Here is an 18,775-nt window from a genome sequence, read left to right as displayed (position 1 = left end):
ATTTTGCCTAGAAAATTTCCAACTTCCCTGAATTAATCAATTATTCTTTAACAAAAACCTTTTATATTAAATACTTTCTACATTCGTAACAAAAGTTCAAAAGACACTGTGGCTAGAAAATTACATTTCTGAAATTTTTATGTGTGTGTGTGTGTGTATATATATATATATATATACATATATATATATATATGAATTTTATAGCTTTGTATCATTTTGAGAAAAAAAGTCCATAATTCTGGAAATATTTCCAAACAACTATTTTACAATGTTTTCTCTGCAAAACTCAGAGCAGTTAGTTTTTATTTTTTTACAAATGTCACTTTACCTTGAAGTGACAGAGTATGTGTTTAATATCTTCTAGCTAGAATGTTTCTGTTAGCCACTTGCCATCAAAGAAAAGTTCTACAGATTTGTAACCCTCATCTTTTTTGAAAGAAAATTGCATAATTCTTACACAAGTTCAAGAGTACTTTGAAGCATGCTGTCACAACAGTGAACTTTACAGAGAAGATTTTAAAGTCTCTCATCTCATTATAAACTATTATAAAGACTGTACTATGTAAAATAATTTAATATATAGATTCACTTAACAGTTACATACATATTTTCATGTTGAAACACAAAAGTAAATAAATGAGTAATGATGCCACTTTCAGCCCCTCTACATTGCAAAAGCCTTCCACTCTTCCTTGAACGTACCTTACAGGACACATTAATGTTTAACAAATAGACCAAGTGAAGACATCAGTGCCAAACTATAGTAAAGAATACATATGTTATTTCTTACTTTATAAATAAGGTATAATTTATTATCTTGTATAATTAATGGCATGTATTTATAGTCAACAAAGTGAGTTAAAATAAAAAAAATTATAGGATGTCCACAGATAGATTTTATGGTATATTTACTTTTTAAATAGACTATTTTTAGAGCAATTTTAGGTTCACAGAAAAGTTGAGCATGAAGTACAGAGAGTTCCCATACATGCTCTGCCCCTATACACATAAACCCTCTTTCATATCAATACCCTCCTACAAAGTGGTACATTTATTGCAACAAAAATGAACCTATGCTGACACATCACTATCACCCAAAATCCACAGTTTACATTACGGCTATTGGTGTTGGACATTCTATGGGTTTTACAAATGTATAGTGACATGTATTCACTATTATTAGTATCACACAAAATAGACTCACTGCTCTAAAAATCCTGTGTTCTGCAGATTCATCCCTCGCTCCCCTCTAACTCCTGGCAACCACTGATCTTTTTCATTTTCTCAATAGTTTTTATAATTACTTTTTAATGTTTCTCTTAAAACCTTTAAAAATCATACCTTTAAAATTTTCTTTTTCTATGTTATGGAGCATATTTAATAACAACACATATATAAGTTATTAAGGAATGAATGTATATATGTTAGGGAAGCTGACTTAAAAATAAGAGTGTGCTATGAAAAAGTTTGGAGACTACTCCCCTGTGGCATCAGGTGACTAACTGTAGATGTACACTGGAAGCAACTGAGCTAGTTGACTCTTCCCGTACTTAGGGCTGTGCAGGGTGGCAGCAGCTGGGTTTGTCCCCAGAAACAAAAACCATGAGTAAGGACCCTAGAATCAGGAAAGCAGAGCAGAGCCTAAGGAAGCTTCCAAACCCAGAAGACAGTCTATCTATTCACTGTGTCTCACAGCATGTATGTCCTACTTCTTTCCCTCACACCCAGATGTAAGCTCCAATAATCAAAATCTACATCTACAAAGAAGCATAAAAGCAGCACCTCACTCTAGGGTATTGAAATCTGTATTGCATGCTGCATAACAAATTACCAGAAACTTAAAGGCTTAGAACAACACAAATTTATTATCTCTTAATTTCCATGGGCCAGGAGTCCAGCATAGGTTAGTGGGGTCCTCTGCTCGGGTGTCTCAGCAGGCTGAAATCAAGGTATCATCTGGAGCTGTGATCTCACCTGAGAAGCAGAGTCCTCTTGCAAGCTCATTCAAGTTGGCAGAATTCACTTACTTGCCATTGTGAAAAAGAAGTCCCCATTTTCTTGCTGGCTGTCACCCAGGATCACTCTCTGCCCCTAAAGGGCATACTCAGCTCCTTGCCAAATGCCCCCACCGCCCTCTTTCAACATGGCTGTTTGCTTTCCTCCAGTCCCTCAGAAGAACATCTCTCAGACACCTTGGCTTCTTGAAAGGAGTCACCTGATTAGGTCAGGCCCATCCAGGACAATCTCTTTTGATGAGTAACCTAATCACAGGAGTGGTATCCATTACATTTACTGGTATCACCCACCATCGAGGGGAGAAGACTAATTTTATAGCAGATGTACAACATGGGAAAGGACAAAGGGGTCATCTTAGAATTCTGATTACTGCAGCCTGAAACACTCCTTATACCAAAACTAACTCAAAATTGATCATAGATTTAAATATAAAACATAAAGCTATGAAACTTTTAGAAGAAAATATATGAAAAAATCTTTGGGATCTCGAGCTTGGTAAAGAGTTCTTAGACACAAAATCAAAAGTGTGATCAATGAAAGAAAAAAACAATAAACTGAACTTCATCAGAAACTATTCATTAAAAATTATTGCCATGAAAAAAAATTCTGTCACAAAGAGTAAATGACAGAGAAAAAATATTTGCAAACCACACATCTGATAGTTTCTAGAATATATAAACAACTCTCAAAACTCAACAGTAAAAAGACAATTCAATTAGAAAATGAGCAAAAGGCACTAAGATACATTTTACGAAAGAGAATATACAAATCGCAAATTTTATCAAAAGAGAATATACAAATAGCAAACAGGCACATAAAGATATTTTCAAAAATCACTAAGCACTAGGGAAATGCAAACTTAAAACCATAGTAAGATATCACTACACCTATCAGAATGGCTAACAGAAAAAAAGTGGGATAACACCAAGTGCTGGCGAGGAAGCAGAGAAACTGGATCTCTTAAAGATTCATAGTGAGAATGAAAAAAATGGCAGTCATTCTGGAAACAGTTTGACAGTTTTTTAAAAATTAAATGTAACTTACATATAGCTAGGCAATCACATTCCTCAGTACTTATCCTAGAAAAATGAAAACTTGTGCCCAAACAGAAACTTGCATAAAAATGTTCAATGCAACTTTATATGTAATAGCCGAAATCCAGAAACAACAAAATATCCTTCAGTGAATGAATGGCTAAACAAACTGTGATACATCCATACCACGAAAACAAGTCACCAATAAACTATTAATCAATATTGACAAATAAAGGAATAAACTATTGATATATGCAAAAACTTGGATGGATCTCAAGAGCATTACACTGAGTGAAAAAGCCAACTCAAAAAGTCACATTCTGTATGACTGCATTTATATTACATTATTGAAATGACAAACTTATAGAAATGGAAACTATTTAGTGGCTGCTATGAGTTAGGGATGATGGCAGGACAGGGGGTGATATGTCCATAAACTGGTTACTTGAGAGAGAATTTTGTTGGTACCTTTCTGTATCTTGATTGTGGTAGTGTCTATACAAATATACACATGAAAAAATGTCACAAAACTGTATTTACCCATTGTACTAATGCCAATTTTCTGGTTTTGACATTTTCCTAAACTGATGTAAGATATAACAATGGGGAAAGCTGGATAAAGCGTACACAGGGACCTCCCTGTGCTATTTTTGTACTTTTCTGTGAATCTATAATTATTTCAAAATAAAAGGGTAAAAAAGCAAATATATAGCATTCTAATATTTAAAAGGGAAGATATACAAATTTATAGACATGTCTATATTTATTTTAGAAACAAATAAACAAGAAGAGAATAAAACATTAAAATTTTGTTTAAATGATACTGATTTAGCGGGCAAAGGCATGGACTAGACCAACCAGTCTTCTGCACATAACTTCTTATGCAGATACTTGAATAAAACGACCTAGCATTTTGCTCATCACACTCAACATGAGAGATTATCAGATACTAGTCTATATTTGCTCACTGACTGTGATAGCAACACCAGCTATTCTGAGACCCTCTGCAGCCTGTTGCCTCAAAAGAGTCAATGTAATCTGAGGGGTATATGCACTCAGCTCAATTCTCCACTCAAAGGCAAACCCATGTAAGCCCCAAAGGAGGTGAACCCCACACTCTACAATCAGGAATTGCCAAATAAGTTAGAATGTATGGAAGTAAATAAAGCCTATGCTCTTACCAAATCTTTGCTCAAAGGTTTTCCAGCTTCCTCTGTAGTTCCCATGTTCCAGGGTTTGCCTGGACCCTGGTTATAACAACAGCTACTGCAGGCCAGACACCATGTTATAAGCTTTGCGTATTTTTTCTAATTCTGACAATAATCCTGTAGGTGTATTGGTGTTACACCAGGATTATAGCTGCCTTCCAATAATGCTGTAAGACTCATATTATCTTTATAGACTAAGAAACTGTGGTTCAGTGATGCTAAGTACCTTGTCCAGTGTCACCCAGTTAATAAAGAGCAGAATTGGGATTCAAATCCATGCCTGTCCAATTCCAAAGCCCATGTTCACTCAATGTGTTCCAAGTTTCCTGGTTTGATTTGGACTGGTTGATGTTTGTTTATTTGTTTCTCAGTGAAATCAGTAGACTTAATCCAGGCTTTCCAAGTTTCATAAAGTGCACAGCTAACTTATTACAACATTCATATAACAACAATTGAATCCATATTCTCTCTTTTATTGATCCATGTTCTCTCCTTTATTAACTGAAAAAGATACAAAGCAAACCCCTTTTGAATTTTGCTATGACACCAGGATTTTCAAAGATCTCACAATCATTAATAAGTATTACTCTGCATTGACTCTGAGCTACAGATTTTTGTTTATGTAAATAAATATTTCAAATAAAAGAACTTCAAATGATATTTTCTTGGGAACTTCATTCATTCTGTAGTTGTTCAATAAACATTTGTAACAAAATAATGAATCTCTATTCTATCAAAGCATGCCATATAACTTCCACACTTCCATCAAAACATCTTTTGATGCTAAAAACATACATAATTTGGAAGAAGACTTAGATTTTTTTAATGGGAAAAAATTAAGCTTAGAAATTATAGCAAATCATCTATTATCCACACAATAGATGACTTGGAAAAAAGGAAAACAACTTCTGGTATACTCGATTAACTTATACATGTAAAATGATAATGTGCTATGTATCTCTCAGCAGCCTGACTAAAAGGACCTGTTAGCATCAGTAAAGGACTTGACAAGCAAAATACCAAGACAGTGATATCCCAAATCCTGCCCACATAGGATTAGCTCATCTAACTCATAAATTCTAATTCTGAATGAGATCTATACATGCTGGATATATGTATAGAAGGAATGGGACTCAGAGACATTATATTCCATTTCCATTTTAACTACTAAGATGGGGAAGGCTTTCATCTTGCACTGCCCGGAAAATTATCTGACAGAAAAAAATGACCTTTCTTTTATATAAAAACTAGGATTTTAGTGAACCAAGTTCCTCTCCCTTCGTTATTTATAAGAAGTTTTCTGGATAGCCCATATTCGGTCCTACATGTATTAGGGTTTGTGTACATATACAAGAATTTTATTCCTTTATAGACTGGTCTGGGCCACCACTGTTCAGTTAAAATTGTATATGACTATTACAGGCTATGGTAAAAACAATGTGTAACTAGATACTGAATGCAGTGTATACACAGATACTGAAGGGCTTTTTAGTGATAATGGTGACATTGATAAGGATAGCAAATGTATCAGGTCAGTAGAAGAGAAAAAATTTTGTTGCAAATATGCAACCTCCTTAGTCAAGCACAACTGAAGGCAAAATTGTAAACTGACTTGATGTGATGCTGCATGTAGTTCAGCTGTTTTGTTGGTGTTATTTTATACAAGAAAAAGAGAATCTAAGTTCATTTTCCTTTTTTGGCATTTGAAATGGCCCTGGACTTGACTTATCCCATCACTCAAAGTTTTTACTGGCACCATCTTTGAAGGATGTAAATATAATAGCTCTTCAGGTATGAGAAGGAGTCTCATGGGAAACCATATTCAGCAGAGTTGCAGAACACTTTTGCAGCAGACTTTTTTTAAATGATGTTTTCTTTGTATCTTGTTTAGACTCTAAACTTTTTTCTGGCTTCCACTCAACCATGGCATATACAACTTAAATGTGCCAAAAATAAGACCAATACTTTTTCAAATATGTTACTTCCAAGTAGAACTGAATCAAGGCTAATTCTAAGGGCAAATGCAGCTTCTAGATTGATGGTGATTATTGCCCTTATTATGCTAAAGATTACTGTAAAGAAAGAGCAAAGGGACAATTACATAGAAAAAAACCAACATGGTTTCCTACAAAAATATGGAAAAGAGGTCATCAAAATAATCAGAGAATGAGAAAAGTTCCTAGTGAAAACCATTGCATATGGACATGAAAACCATAAAAGGCAACAATAATCTTAGAAAAAGTCAGAGGAATGAGTTTCTCAGAAGATACTACTAGATCAGTGATGATAACACCAATACTAATAAATTGCCTTACTTTAGGGACTTAGAAATTTAAGCAGCCTGAAAAATGCTTGTCATATTGGTAAATTACAGAATTGCCACTGGCTTTATTAATGTGTTGCAAAACAAGGTCTGATAAACTGGAAGTTGCTTGGTTAGTGACTAAAGCAGAATTGTGGGCCATAGGAAAACAAGAAGAAGCTTAACTTCATTACTTTAGTTCTCCATCACACACAAAAATATATTATTATGGTTATCATTTCTTCAGCACCTTCTCTCTCTTGACATCATTAGGAGTTTTACAATGAAGATTATTAGAGCTGCTTTGGAGACTTTGGAGTCTATTGACATATAGATAAGACAGAGTATGGTGGTGTGAGTATATAGGTGAATATTTGGATTCTATTGCAATGGTGTCAGCTACAATTCAGGCAGTCCACCTCTGCTCAAGTGTCAAAATCATGACATCTGGCCTCGATAAGTGGAAATGTTCTTATGAATTTTTGATATCTAAGAGTACACTCCTTGGAGATCACAGTTACTTTGACTTTCTCTAACACTTAGCAAGTAACAGATACACCTGTGCAGAATGGTTAGGCTCCTCACTCAAAAGGCAGCCATTCTCTGACTCTACTAAATAAAGCATATGCAAATAGGAACATAGTCTGTTTTCTGTGATGGCATACATAATCTCTTACTTTTTACACAGTCCTTGAAAAACAGGAATTATTTAGCAATATTTTAGATATAAAGGTCCCAAGGCTCAGAGTTCATAAATAACTTCCTTACAGGCACATTGCTAAAAAGTGACATGGCTGGAAATAAGAGGTCCATTTGATTTCAAACCTCCTACTTTTTTCCTTAATTTGCATGCAGTTCTGCCTCTCAAAAAGGCCACAAGGGAGAAAATCCTGGTTCATTCATTAACATATTCAACAAATATTATTGAGCACCCATTATGTTCTAGGTGCTGAAGATACTGTGGTAAAGTATATAAAGCCCTGCCCTGTTGGATCTTACATTTTGGTGACAAATAGATAACAGCCAAACATATTACGTCAGGGCTATAAAATATGCAGGGAGAAGGGAGGTTATTTTAGTAAGGAATGAGAGAAGTCTTCAATGAGGTGATATTTATGCAAAGACATAAATGAAGTGAAGGAGTGAGCCTTGTGGAAATTCGAGAGAAAGGGATACCAAGTAAAGGGACCACCAAGCACAAAGCCTCTAAAATGGGCCTATGTGCACTGTGTTCAAGTTACAGGAAAAAGGTCAGTGTCACTATAGTTCAGTGAATGAGATGGAGAATGTTAAGGTGATGGAGTTGGAGAGCAGCAGGGCCCAGATCATGAAGAGCCCAAGGCCAAAGTGAGAAGTTTGAAGTTCATTTTAAGGGTGATGGGAAGCCATTTAGCTGTATAAGAAGGGAGGAATGGCAAAAATGACTCATATTTTTCTTTTTTTATCTTTTAAGTTTAGGGTTACATGTTCAGGATGTGTAGGTTTGTTACACAGGTAAACGTGTGCCATGGTGGTTTGCTGCGCAGATCATCCCATCACCTAGGTATTAAGCCCAGCATCCATTAGCTATCCTTCCTGATGCTCTTCCCCCACAACTCGCCCCCAACAAGCCCCAGTATGTGTTGTTCTTCTTCATGTGTAAATGTGTTCTCATCATTCAGTTCCCACTTATAAGTAAGAACATGCAGTATTTGGTTTTCTGTTCCTATGTTAGTTTGTTAAGGATAATGGCTTCCAGCTCCATCCATGTTCCCACAAAGAACACGACCTCGTTCTGTTTTACGACTGCACAGTATTCCATGGTGTGTATGTACCACATTTTCTTTATCCAATCTATCATTGAAGGGCATTTGGGTTGATTTCATGTCTTCACTATTGTGAACAGTGCTACAACGAACATACGTGTGCATGTATCATTATAACAATGATTTATTTATACATCTTTGGTATATACCCAGTAATGGGATTGCTGGGTCAAATGGTATTTCTGCCTCTAGGTCTTTGAGGAATCGCCATGCTGTCTTCCACAGTGGTTGAACTTACACTCCTACCAACAGTGTAAAAGTGTTCCTTTTTCTCCACGACCTCACCAGCATCTGTGTTTTTTGACTTTTTAATAATAGCCTTTCTAACTGGCACAAGATGGCATCTCATTGTGGTTTTAGTTTGCATTTCTCTAATCATCAGTGATGTTGAGATTTTTTTCATATGTTTGTTGGCCACATGTATGTCTCCTTTTGAGAAGTGTTTGTTCATGTTCTTTGCCCACTTTTTGATGGGGCTGTTTGTTTTTTCTTGTAAATTGGTTTAAGTTGCTTGTAGACTCTGGATATTAGACCTTTGTCAGATGAATTGCAAAAATTTTCTCTCATTCTGTAGGTTGTCTGCTCAATCTGATGATAGCTTCTTTTGGTGTGCAGAAGCTCTTTAGTTTAATTAGATACCATTTGTCAATTTTTGCTTCAGTTCCAATTGCTTTTGGCATCTTCATCATGAAATCTGTACCCATGCCTACGTCCTGAGTGGTACTACCTAGATTTTCTTCTAAGGTTTTTATAGTTTTGGGTTTTACATTTAAGTCTTTAATCCATCTTGAGTTAATTTTTGTATAAGGTGTAAAGAAGGGGTCCAGTTTCAATATTTTGCATATGGCTAGCCAGTTCTTCCAGCACCATTTACTAAATAGGGAATTTTTCCCCATTGCTTGTTTTTGTCAGGTTTGTCAAAGGTCAGATGTTGCAGGTGTGTGGTCTTATTTCTGGATTATCTATTCTGTTCCATTAGTCTATGTATCTGTGCTTATACAAGTACCGTGCTGTTTTGATTACTGTAGCCTTGTAATATAGTTTGAAGTCAGACAGCATGATGCCTCAAGCTTTGTTCTTTTTGCTTAGGATTGTCTTGGCTATTCAGGTTCTTTCTTGGTTCCATATTAATTTTAAAATAGTTTTTTCTAATTCTGTGAAGAATGTCAATGGTAGTTTAATGGTAATAGCATTGAATCTATAAATTATTTGGGACAGTAAGGCCATTTTCACAATATTGATTCTTCTTATCTTTGAGCATGGAATATTTTTCCATTTGTTTGTGTCCTTTCTGATTTCTTTGGGCAGTGGTTTGTAGTTTTCCTTGAAGAGGTCCTTCCCTTCCCTTGTTAGCTGTATTCCTAGGTTTTGTTTGTTTGTTTTTTGCAGCAACTGTGAATGGAAATTCATTCATGATTTGACTTTCGGCTTGCCTGTTGTTGGTGATTTTTGCACACCGATTTTGTACTCTGAGACTTTGCTGAAGTTGCTTAAGAAGGTTTGGTCTGAGATTAAGTTGGCTTCATCCCCAGGATGCCAGGTTGCTTCAACATAACCAAATCAATAAACGTGATTCATCACATAAACTAAACAACTAAAGAAAAAAAACACATGATTATCTCAATAGATGCAGAAAAGGCCTTCAATAAAATTCAACATCCCTGCATGTTAAAAACTCACAATAAACTAGGTATTGAAGGAACACACCTCAAAATAATAAGAGCCATATGTAACAAACCCACAGCCAATATCATACCGAATTGGCAGAAGCTGGAAGCATTCCCCTTGACAACTGGCACAAGTCAAGGCTGCCCTCTCTCACCATGCCTATTTAACATAGTATTGGAAGTTCTGGCTAAGGCAATCAGGCAAGAGAAAGAAATAAAGGCTATTCAAATAGAAAGAGAGAAAGTCAAATTATCTTTGTTTGCAGAAGACATGATCCTATATCTGATTCACATTTTTCAAGTTGGGGAAATAAAACATTTTAAAATTTCATATTGAAACGCAGTGGATAAAACACTAATAAAGATTATTTCCTTTTAAAAGCCAAATGCCTCTTGTTAGTAAGAAAAAGATGGGGGATTGGGGAAAGGTCCAAAACAAGGTTAGTGATCTATTCAGGCCCTTTCCCATCCTCATGCGTCCCATAGGCTCCCAGCATACATGCTGGTACTCAGTGATTCCCGTATTAGTGCTTGTTTTGTTCTCCTTGTAATTAGGAATGGTAACACTGAGGTTCTTTCTTTTTAATTCATCCTCCCTGCATGCTCGTTCATTCTCTGTCATCTCACCCAGTCACCTATTAAGCACAGGGTTAAATAAAGAACAGGAGTTCCATACATACTTATTCCACTTGATTACATTAAGATTATAAAATATTGGTATGGTTCTTCATTTTAGTTAGTGAGCCTTTCAATTTCATTAATAATGTGGATTATATTTGAAGTGCCTATTTAACCCCTTCAAAAGATATTTGGGGCTTAATAAAGGCACTTTCTATCTCAATTATCTCTTTCTGATTTACACTTTTTGCAGACTAAACAAAGTGATAACCAGCACCTCCCGTGTGTCTGTTCCATAATCGACCTACAAAGATCCAACTGCTTTGATCAGATCTGACAATGGACCAAAGACACATCCTAATTCTGACCTTTTGGGGTTCAATATAAAAATTGTCTTAAAGAGTAGTGTTAGTGCAAAAAGAAAAGCTACAGAAATAAATAGCTTGCAGGGTTGAGAGCTAGTTGTTCACTATCAAAGAAAAACTGCTCAATCCATTATCTTGAAACAAACAGCTCCTCAGAAAGTGCATTTAAGCTACTGACTCAGAGTAAATACATCCACACATCCACACATTTTTGACTGCCTTATCTTTCCTCTTTTCACATCAAACTGTTAGTTTTATTTATGAATTTCAGCAAAGTACATCCATAATTGGTTTCTTTATATTAATTTGGACAGAGGTGCTAAAAACACATTTAGCTAGAATTATAAGAATTTGATGTACTTGTTTGTGGTTTACTTAAATATAATATGAACAATTTTCAATATACCTGAAGAAAAGCAAATTGGCAAAGAGAGAAAGAGAGAAAATATTTTATGCCTTTATTAAGAGCCAGTCCTTTTATCACCATGATTCCACTCTGATTCTGATATAATACAGCAAATTGGTTTGGGAATTTGCATGCTTCAGCCAGGGTTATCATCTACTTCAATAATCCCTATAATCTCTATTCTATAACAAAATTCATTGAAGTATGTTAAACTATATCACTCTGAAAAAAATATTGTTACCATTTTAGTTTTTAAAACAGGTTTATTGAGGTATAATTAATAAACAAAGAATTGCACATATTTAATAAATAGCCATTTTGTTTTAAGGACAAATTGATTCCCAGGTGCCTTCTGATTTTCAACTAAAGCAATGAATTTATTTTGTACATTGTGAAGGAATAAATAATAAGAGTGCCATGAAATTCTCCTAAGACCATAGTTTATTTGCAGTATCACAGAGTTTCAGTAGCTGCAAAAAAAAAAAACCTTACCAATCCTCCAGGTCAATCCCCATTTTGCAGATTAAAAGTCATCCTATAGACTTCACTGCTGCAGAGCTACCTAGTGGATGAGACTCAAACTCCAGATATTTCCTATTTGTATTTCCTGACAATAGCATTTTATAGGAAAAGGAATTTGTAGCCACATAAACTTCAAGGTCCACTCAAATGCTACCTCCTCTATGAAGCCTCTCCTAATCACCCAGCAAGAACAAATTTCATTCATCTCTAAAGGGCAAGCAATGGTACTTTTATCTATGCCTCTCCTATGGCAACCATGTCTTTCATTTCATATCAGTCTCAACTTTCATATTAAATTTCACATTCTCTCTTTCCCCTCAAAAAAAAAAAAGTTTGAGTTACCTTTGTGTCCCAGAGTACAGCGCAATGCCCTACATTTGGTAGGTGCTCAGTACGTCACTGAATGATGTTAGCCACATTCAAATCTATATGATCAACAGAGCTGGCCATTTTGGTTTAAAGCCAGTATCTTAGTTCACACTGGTCTCTAAATACTATTAAGTGATATTTTTATTTCCTCTCTAGAATAAGCAGAGAACTTTGAAACAAAGCCATTTCTAGTCCCTGTTGCTCCTATGGACTACCAGGAATCCAGGATACGAACCACCAAGCCACTGGACTCACAACAAGAGGACTTCCTCTCTCTATCTAGAGTAATTGTCTGAATACCAGCAGAGTCTGGCTTCTCCAGATCCTTCAAAAAATCTGCATTCCTTTACCAGTGAGAACACATTAGAATGTTGAGTAAGAAAAGATAAGTAAGTTATGTGTCAAGGCATTTCATCCATTCTGCTTTCAGTACATAAAGTGGGAGGGGCCCAAAAAATAATGCCTCAGAGGATTCCTACTGGCATGGAGTGAAAATGTGCCTTTAGTTTGCAAACAGGTACTATACACAAGCAAGATAAAGCCTATTAGAGCCTTATCTGATTTGCACATAACACAACTGTTGAAGTCTTTCGAGTTTTCAAGTGGCATAAAATACTACACAATTCCTTTATGACTCAAAACAAGATGCAAGAGAGAGTAGATAGCAAAAATTCACTCAAATATACCATCCCACAGACTGAATGTGCTTCTCTATAAGCAAAAAACCTTTGTTTGATTGCATTGACACAATGCATGGAAACAACAGTATATGTCCTTTGCATAGAACCTGTTTTATAATGCTAGTACAATTCTCACATTCCTTTATCTGAAACCCTTGGAACCAATGTGTTTCTCAGTTCAGGATTTTTCCTATTTTAGAAATGTGGGCTGTAATCCCAGTACTTTGGGAGGCCGAGGCAGGTGGATCATTTGACGTTAGAAGTTCGAGACCACCCTGGCCAACACAGTAAAACTCTGTCTCCATAAAAAAAATACAAAAATTAGCCAGGTGTGGTGGCACACACCTGTGGTCCCAGTTATTGTGGAGGCTGAGGCAGGAGAGTCGCTTAAACCTGGGAGGTGGAGGTTGCAGTGAGCTGAGATCGCACTGCTGCACTCCAGTCTGGATGACAGAAGTAAGACCCTGTCTCAAAAAAAAAAAAAAAAAAAAAAAAAAGAAAAGAAAAATGAGGCATATACCATATATTAAATAACACTCTCATCAAGCTCATCAAGATCTGGAATAGCACCCTTTAATCAAAAACATATTTCTCAGGTTTTGCCACAAAATTAGGGCAGGTCAGGTTTTGCCTTCAAGTTACCAGTTTCAGAGCATTCTGGAGTGTGGAATTTCAGATGTGGGATTTGGGTCTGAATGATGAAAAATAACTCCTGTGTTATAACAAAATTATATCATTCGGAGTTGTTGCAATATATGCTTAAGTCTATAGGGTCATATTTTACTAGAGCATACACAAATCCATATAATAAGCGAAACAATTCTACTAAATTGTTTAACAATTCATTGTGTAAATTTCTGGTATGATATTCTGCTAGTTTCAGAGGAGCTACAAGTCAACATATACCCCTGGAATTTGAAATCTTTCCAAAATTAAATGGTGTAAATAAAGGTGACGAAATGTTTCAAAATATGGAAACAGTAGAAATGTTTGCATTACTTTATGTAATTATTTAAATAGTAGTGTATGGCATGAATTTACCACCTGGGTCTTGGAATGGCTATATACTTAACTGGAATGAAACACTAAAGTTGTTGAACATTTTATTTTTTTGAAGGCACATGTTTAACAGGTCATCAATCAAAAGATATATGTATGGCTTCCAATTATTCTTCTAATTATTGCAACCAAAAAAAATTAAGTCAGGATGTGAAAATCACATCAAGTTTTAAAAGTTAAGTAGTACTCCTTTAAAAATGTGTTACCTTCTCTTATTTTTTTAAGTCCATACTAATAATCAGCAAGAAAAGAAACATGTTGTTCAGAGCAAATATCTCCATAGAGGTAAGTGTTTCTACCTGGAAAAGAGTCTGGGATAAAACAAGCGGCCAGTCACGCTGCACAGTCTCCTAGGGTCACCTTATGGAGACTTCATTTAGGAGCTGAGGGAATATGCTTCCAGGGCCTCTTGAGGGCCCTCTCTCATACTCAGCTCAGCCTGACCACTGGGGCTCAAAGAACTAGGAAAGATGGAGAACAGAGGAGGAGGATATAGAAAGCAGGTTGTAAGAGTTGGCCCAGACTTGTTTACATGCAATTCCTGTTTTCTAAAATTGAAGGAAGGATTTGATTGGCTAGTATTGGCAAGTCTTTTGAGTTTTTTTTTAAAGGGTACTTTGTTAAGAAAAATAATAATACTATTTCTAAATGAAATTATTATGAGAATTTATTTAATTTTTCATTTTTATTTTTCCTTTGAAAATAAATGAATTAAGCAACAATCTTTTATTTCAGATAAAGAGTTGATTTGGGTTTTGGCTTAGTGTCTACAAACGTGTAGAAATTTGAGTGCGTTCTCTCAACAGGACCTCCAAACTACTTCTGGCCTGGAGCTGTACAACTCATGAATTGCTGTTCACTCAAACAAATACCTTAAAATTTTATATGCCACAGTTTACCTTTTAATGTTTTCTTCAGTGAGTTACTTCTTAAGTTAGTCTTCCCTCAAAAACTTATGCCTCCTTTTAGTCAGCACTATGAGACTTTTGGTGGGAAAAGGGGGAAAAAAACCTACTACTGTTACTAGAAGGCTCCAAAACTGAAAAGTACTTTCTAAACCATTTCTAAAATTACTCTACATTTCACTGGTTACTTAATATACAGTACTATGCAAACTCAAATGAAATATTTTTTTGACAAATAAAGTTTGTATATATTTAAGGGATATAATGTGATTATTTAATATATATATACTTTGTGAAATTATTACCACAATCAAGCTAATTAACATATCTATCACCTCACAGAGTTACCCTCTTTTGTGTATGTGGTGAGAATACTGAAGATCTACTCTCTTAGCAAATTTCAAGTACACAATGCATTATATAGCACTGTACCATGATCTCCAGAGATTATTCATCTTATGACCAAAAGTTTTTACCCTTTGACCAATTATCTCCTCATTCCCCCAACCACCCCCAACCACCTTCTACTCTGTTTCTGTGAGTAAGATTTTTAAAAATTCTACGTATAAATGGAATCATGCAGTATTTTTCTTTCTGCGTCTGGCTTATTTCGCTTAGCATAATGTCCTCCATGTTCATATATGTTGTTGCACATTGCAGGATTTCCTTTATTTTTTAAAGCTGAATTTTCCTCTGGGTGTGTGTGTGTGTGTGTGTGTGTGTGTGTATAAACATTTCCTCTGTCCATTCATTCATCAGAGGACACTTAGGTTGTTTCTATATCTTGGCTATTGTGAATAATGCTACAATGAACATGGAAGTGTAGACATGTCTTCAAGACAACGGTTTCATTTCCTTTTGATGTATACCCAGAAGTAGGATTGCTGGATCATATGGTAGTTCTATTTTTATTTTTTGAGGAAATTCCATACTGTTTTCCATAATAGCTATACCAATTTACATTTCCACCAATAGTGCACAAAGGTTCGCTTTTCTCTACATCCTTGCCAACACTTGTTGTCTTTTGACTTTCTGGTAATAGCCATCCTAACAGTTGTGATGTGATATCTCATTGTGGTTTTGATTTTCATTTCCCTAATGGTTAGCGGTGTTGAACACCTTTTTACTTATTGGCCACTTGCATGTGTTCTTTGGAAAAATGTCTTTTTAGGTCCTTTGCCCATTTTTTAAAAAAGTTATTGTGTTGTATGAGTTCCTTATATATTTTGGATATTAAACTCCTTACTGGATATACAGTTTATAAATAGTTTTTCCTATTCCACAAGTTGCCTTTCCATTTTGTTGTTTCCTTTGTTTTATGGCATTAGGTCTTTCTAACATTGTGTACTCCATTTTGAGTTGATTATTGTGCATGTTGTAAGACCAAGGTCCAATTTCATTCTTTTGCATGTGGATATCCTAAATAAAATATTTTTAAAACTGTGATTTTGATAATTCCAAGTTTAAATAAGAGGGAAAAGAATTAGGATCTCTGTTGGAATAACTTTTAGTTCTCTTCTTCAATTCAAATACATGTATATAATGAAAACATATATTTGAGTATTTGAGAGTAATAACAGTCTGTTTAACAAATGTAAGGCATCTGTGGAATTATTACAAGAAATTATCATTGTACTTAGCTTTAGACTGATTTACTGCATCTTCCTTAATCCTTAAGTTGCATATTCATTGCTGTATTTTCTTCTAACTGCTGTCACTTAAGTTGTCATGCAGAATAGGGCAAATCGGGGTCAGTTTATATAAGCGGCATCAATTTGAAGAACTTCATCAGTCTTCATTTCAAGGCATTATGCAAAGAAAACTGACATTAAGAGAGCCTTAACTGACAGCAAATGAAATCAATCAGCAAATCACTAAGCCATAATAAACTCACTCATTTGTAGATAACCCTTCCTTTTCCAGGTCTTCACCTAGGCAGTCCATCAAACACTGTTTTTTGTCCAAGTAGCTAAAATGAATAGCAATTCTGGTTATAGCACTTGAAAGTTCAACTGCTCACAGGCTTCGTTCTCTCAATAATAAGTATTAAAAGATATAATAGTTCTAGTTATATTTAAAAAGTGGCCTTAAAATGAACAAAAAGATAAAGCATCAAGTTTAGAATTTAGTTTTTGCCTCTTAACATTAATGACAAAGAAATTATGTTCACATCATGTCAGCAGCTTTTCTACTTAGGGCCACCTAGAACTCAGAGTTGTAACAAAAAACAAAATTCTGTACTGTACTTTGATACGTTTTGTCATTTTTGTTTTTTACTAATTGCATCTCAAACATTTCACATAAAAGCAAATACTGTCACCACTTGAGTTGGAATTTGAAATCATCCCAAAATTAAATGATGAAAAGGTGACAAAATGTTTCAAAATATGGAAACAGTAGTAATGTTTGCATTACTTTATATGATTATTTAAATAGTAGTATATGGCATGAATTTACCACCTGGGTCTTGGCAATGGCTGTATACTTAACTGGAAGGAAACACTAAAGTTGTTGAACATATTATTTTTTTGAAGGCACATGTTGAACAGGTCATCAATCAAAAACCTCCAAAAGTCAAAACACTAAAACCTTTCTCAATATAGTTGGGTCACCGTTCCTGACCTTAGGCCTTTTATAGTTCAGTCCAACTTAGCTTTTACTAATATAGCATTTTTTAATGTGAAAATCACCTTCACATGCACATTATCTCATCTGATCTCCCTACAGTCCTGTGAGCAAAAGCAAGACTGGCGTCACTGTCACCTTTTACAGATGAGGGAACAGTGGCTCTGTGCTGTTGAGTGACTTACCGAGGTGGTTAAATTACAGGGCCAGAACTTCAATCCAGGCATTCTGACTCTCCACACAAGCTTTTTCTAATACTACCTTGCTGACTCCTTCCCCAGAAAATGAAATTATTTCAACTTTTCCAAATACTATGCTGTTAAGAAAATAATTCCCATTCTAATCAACATAACTCAATGACATACAGTAAATTGCACAGACTTATGGTTGCCAATTTCCATATAATCTGATTTACTTTCTTGTCTTTTAAAGGGGTAAAAATATTAACCTGAAATTGAAAACTAAGCAATCTATATATACCTGACCAAGGGATGTTTATATGGCAAATATTTAAAGAAAAATTATTTCAAAAACATTTATTAGTGCGATTTAATTTTCTAAGTTCTTTCATACATGTTATAGGATCCTCATAATCACCCAAAGATGCACCAGACCAGGTAATATCACCTCCATTTTACTGATGAGGAAACTGACATGCTGGAAGAATTCAGGGTCAAGGGGTCACAGAAAATAGTGATTCTAGGATAGAACTCCAGTAGCACTGGAATTCTATCCAGTGCTACCACAAGAATTGTAATACATACTCATCCTTCACAAGAAAAGACAATGTTGTATTCCACATACACACAAAAAGAAAACAATTGTATAAAATAATGAGAATCCCTGCTACTGGTGTAATTTGTGTCTACAGGGGGAAGGATTTCAACTGCTTTATTGCCAGTCCTACTACTTTCTAGCAAAGTTGCATAACTGCTTCAACCTTCTGTAATACTGATTCTGCTATGATTTTATTTCCTTCCTAATTATTTTTTCCTATTAAGAAAAGGAATAATAAACAACAAAACTAGAAAAATGAATTTATAAATCTACCTTGTTTTTAAAGAAGTCCTACCAGATTTTCCTTAATCTCAGTTCAGATCAGTTATACCAGATCATTCCCGCAAGGTATATAATTCATACATACATTAAGCTGAATTAAGGAGTACAAAGTTATAAGATTCTTTAAAACTGTAG

The 18,775-nt window shown here is 35.1% G+C and overlaps 1 protein-coding gene across 33 annotated transcripts in view; it reads right to left on the bottom strand.

The window, feature by feature from the left end:
• The window catches only part of CCDC171 (coiled-coil domain containing 171), a 556,042-nt gene that overhangs the window by 206,488 nt on the left and 330,779 nt on the right, over window positions 1-18,775 (bottom strand). Inside the window, exons 25-27 of one of the 33 annotated variants that reach the window (XR_001746229.3) lie at window positions 16,851-16,925; window positions 14,351-16,749; window positions 4,729-13,456 (exon numbers count right to left, since the gene is read on the bottom strand). The exons of 31 other annotated variants lie outside the window; for them this stretch is intronic. The gene's annotated coding sequence lies outside the window, so the exon portion shown is untranslated. Of the gene's footprint in view, window positions 1-4,728; window positions 13,457-14,350; window positions 16,750-16,850; window positions 16,926-18,775 lie in introns of those variants that run through there. One more of the 33 variants, XR_007061262.1, reaches the window with a different exon arrangement.

Source organism: Homo sapiens, chromosome 9, assembly GCF_000001405.40.
Source record: "Homo sapiens chromosome 9, GRCh38.p14 Primary Assembly".
NCBI lineage: Eukaryota > Metazoa > Chordata > Mammalia > Primates > Hominidae > Homo > Homo sapiens.
This window is presented reverse-complemented; position numbering and strand designations above follow the sequence as displayed.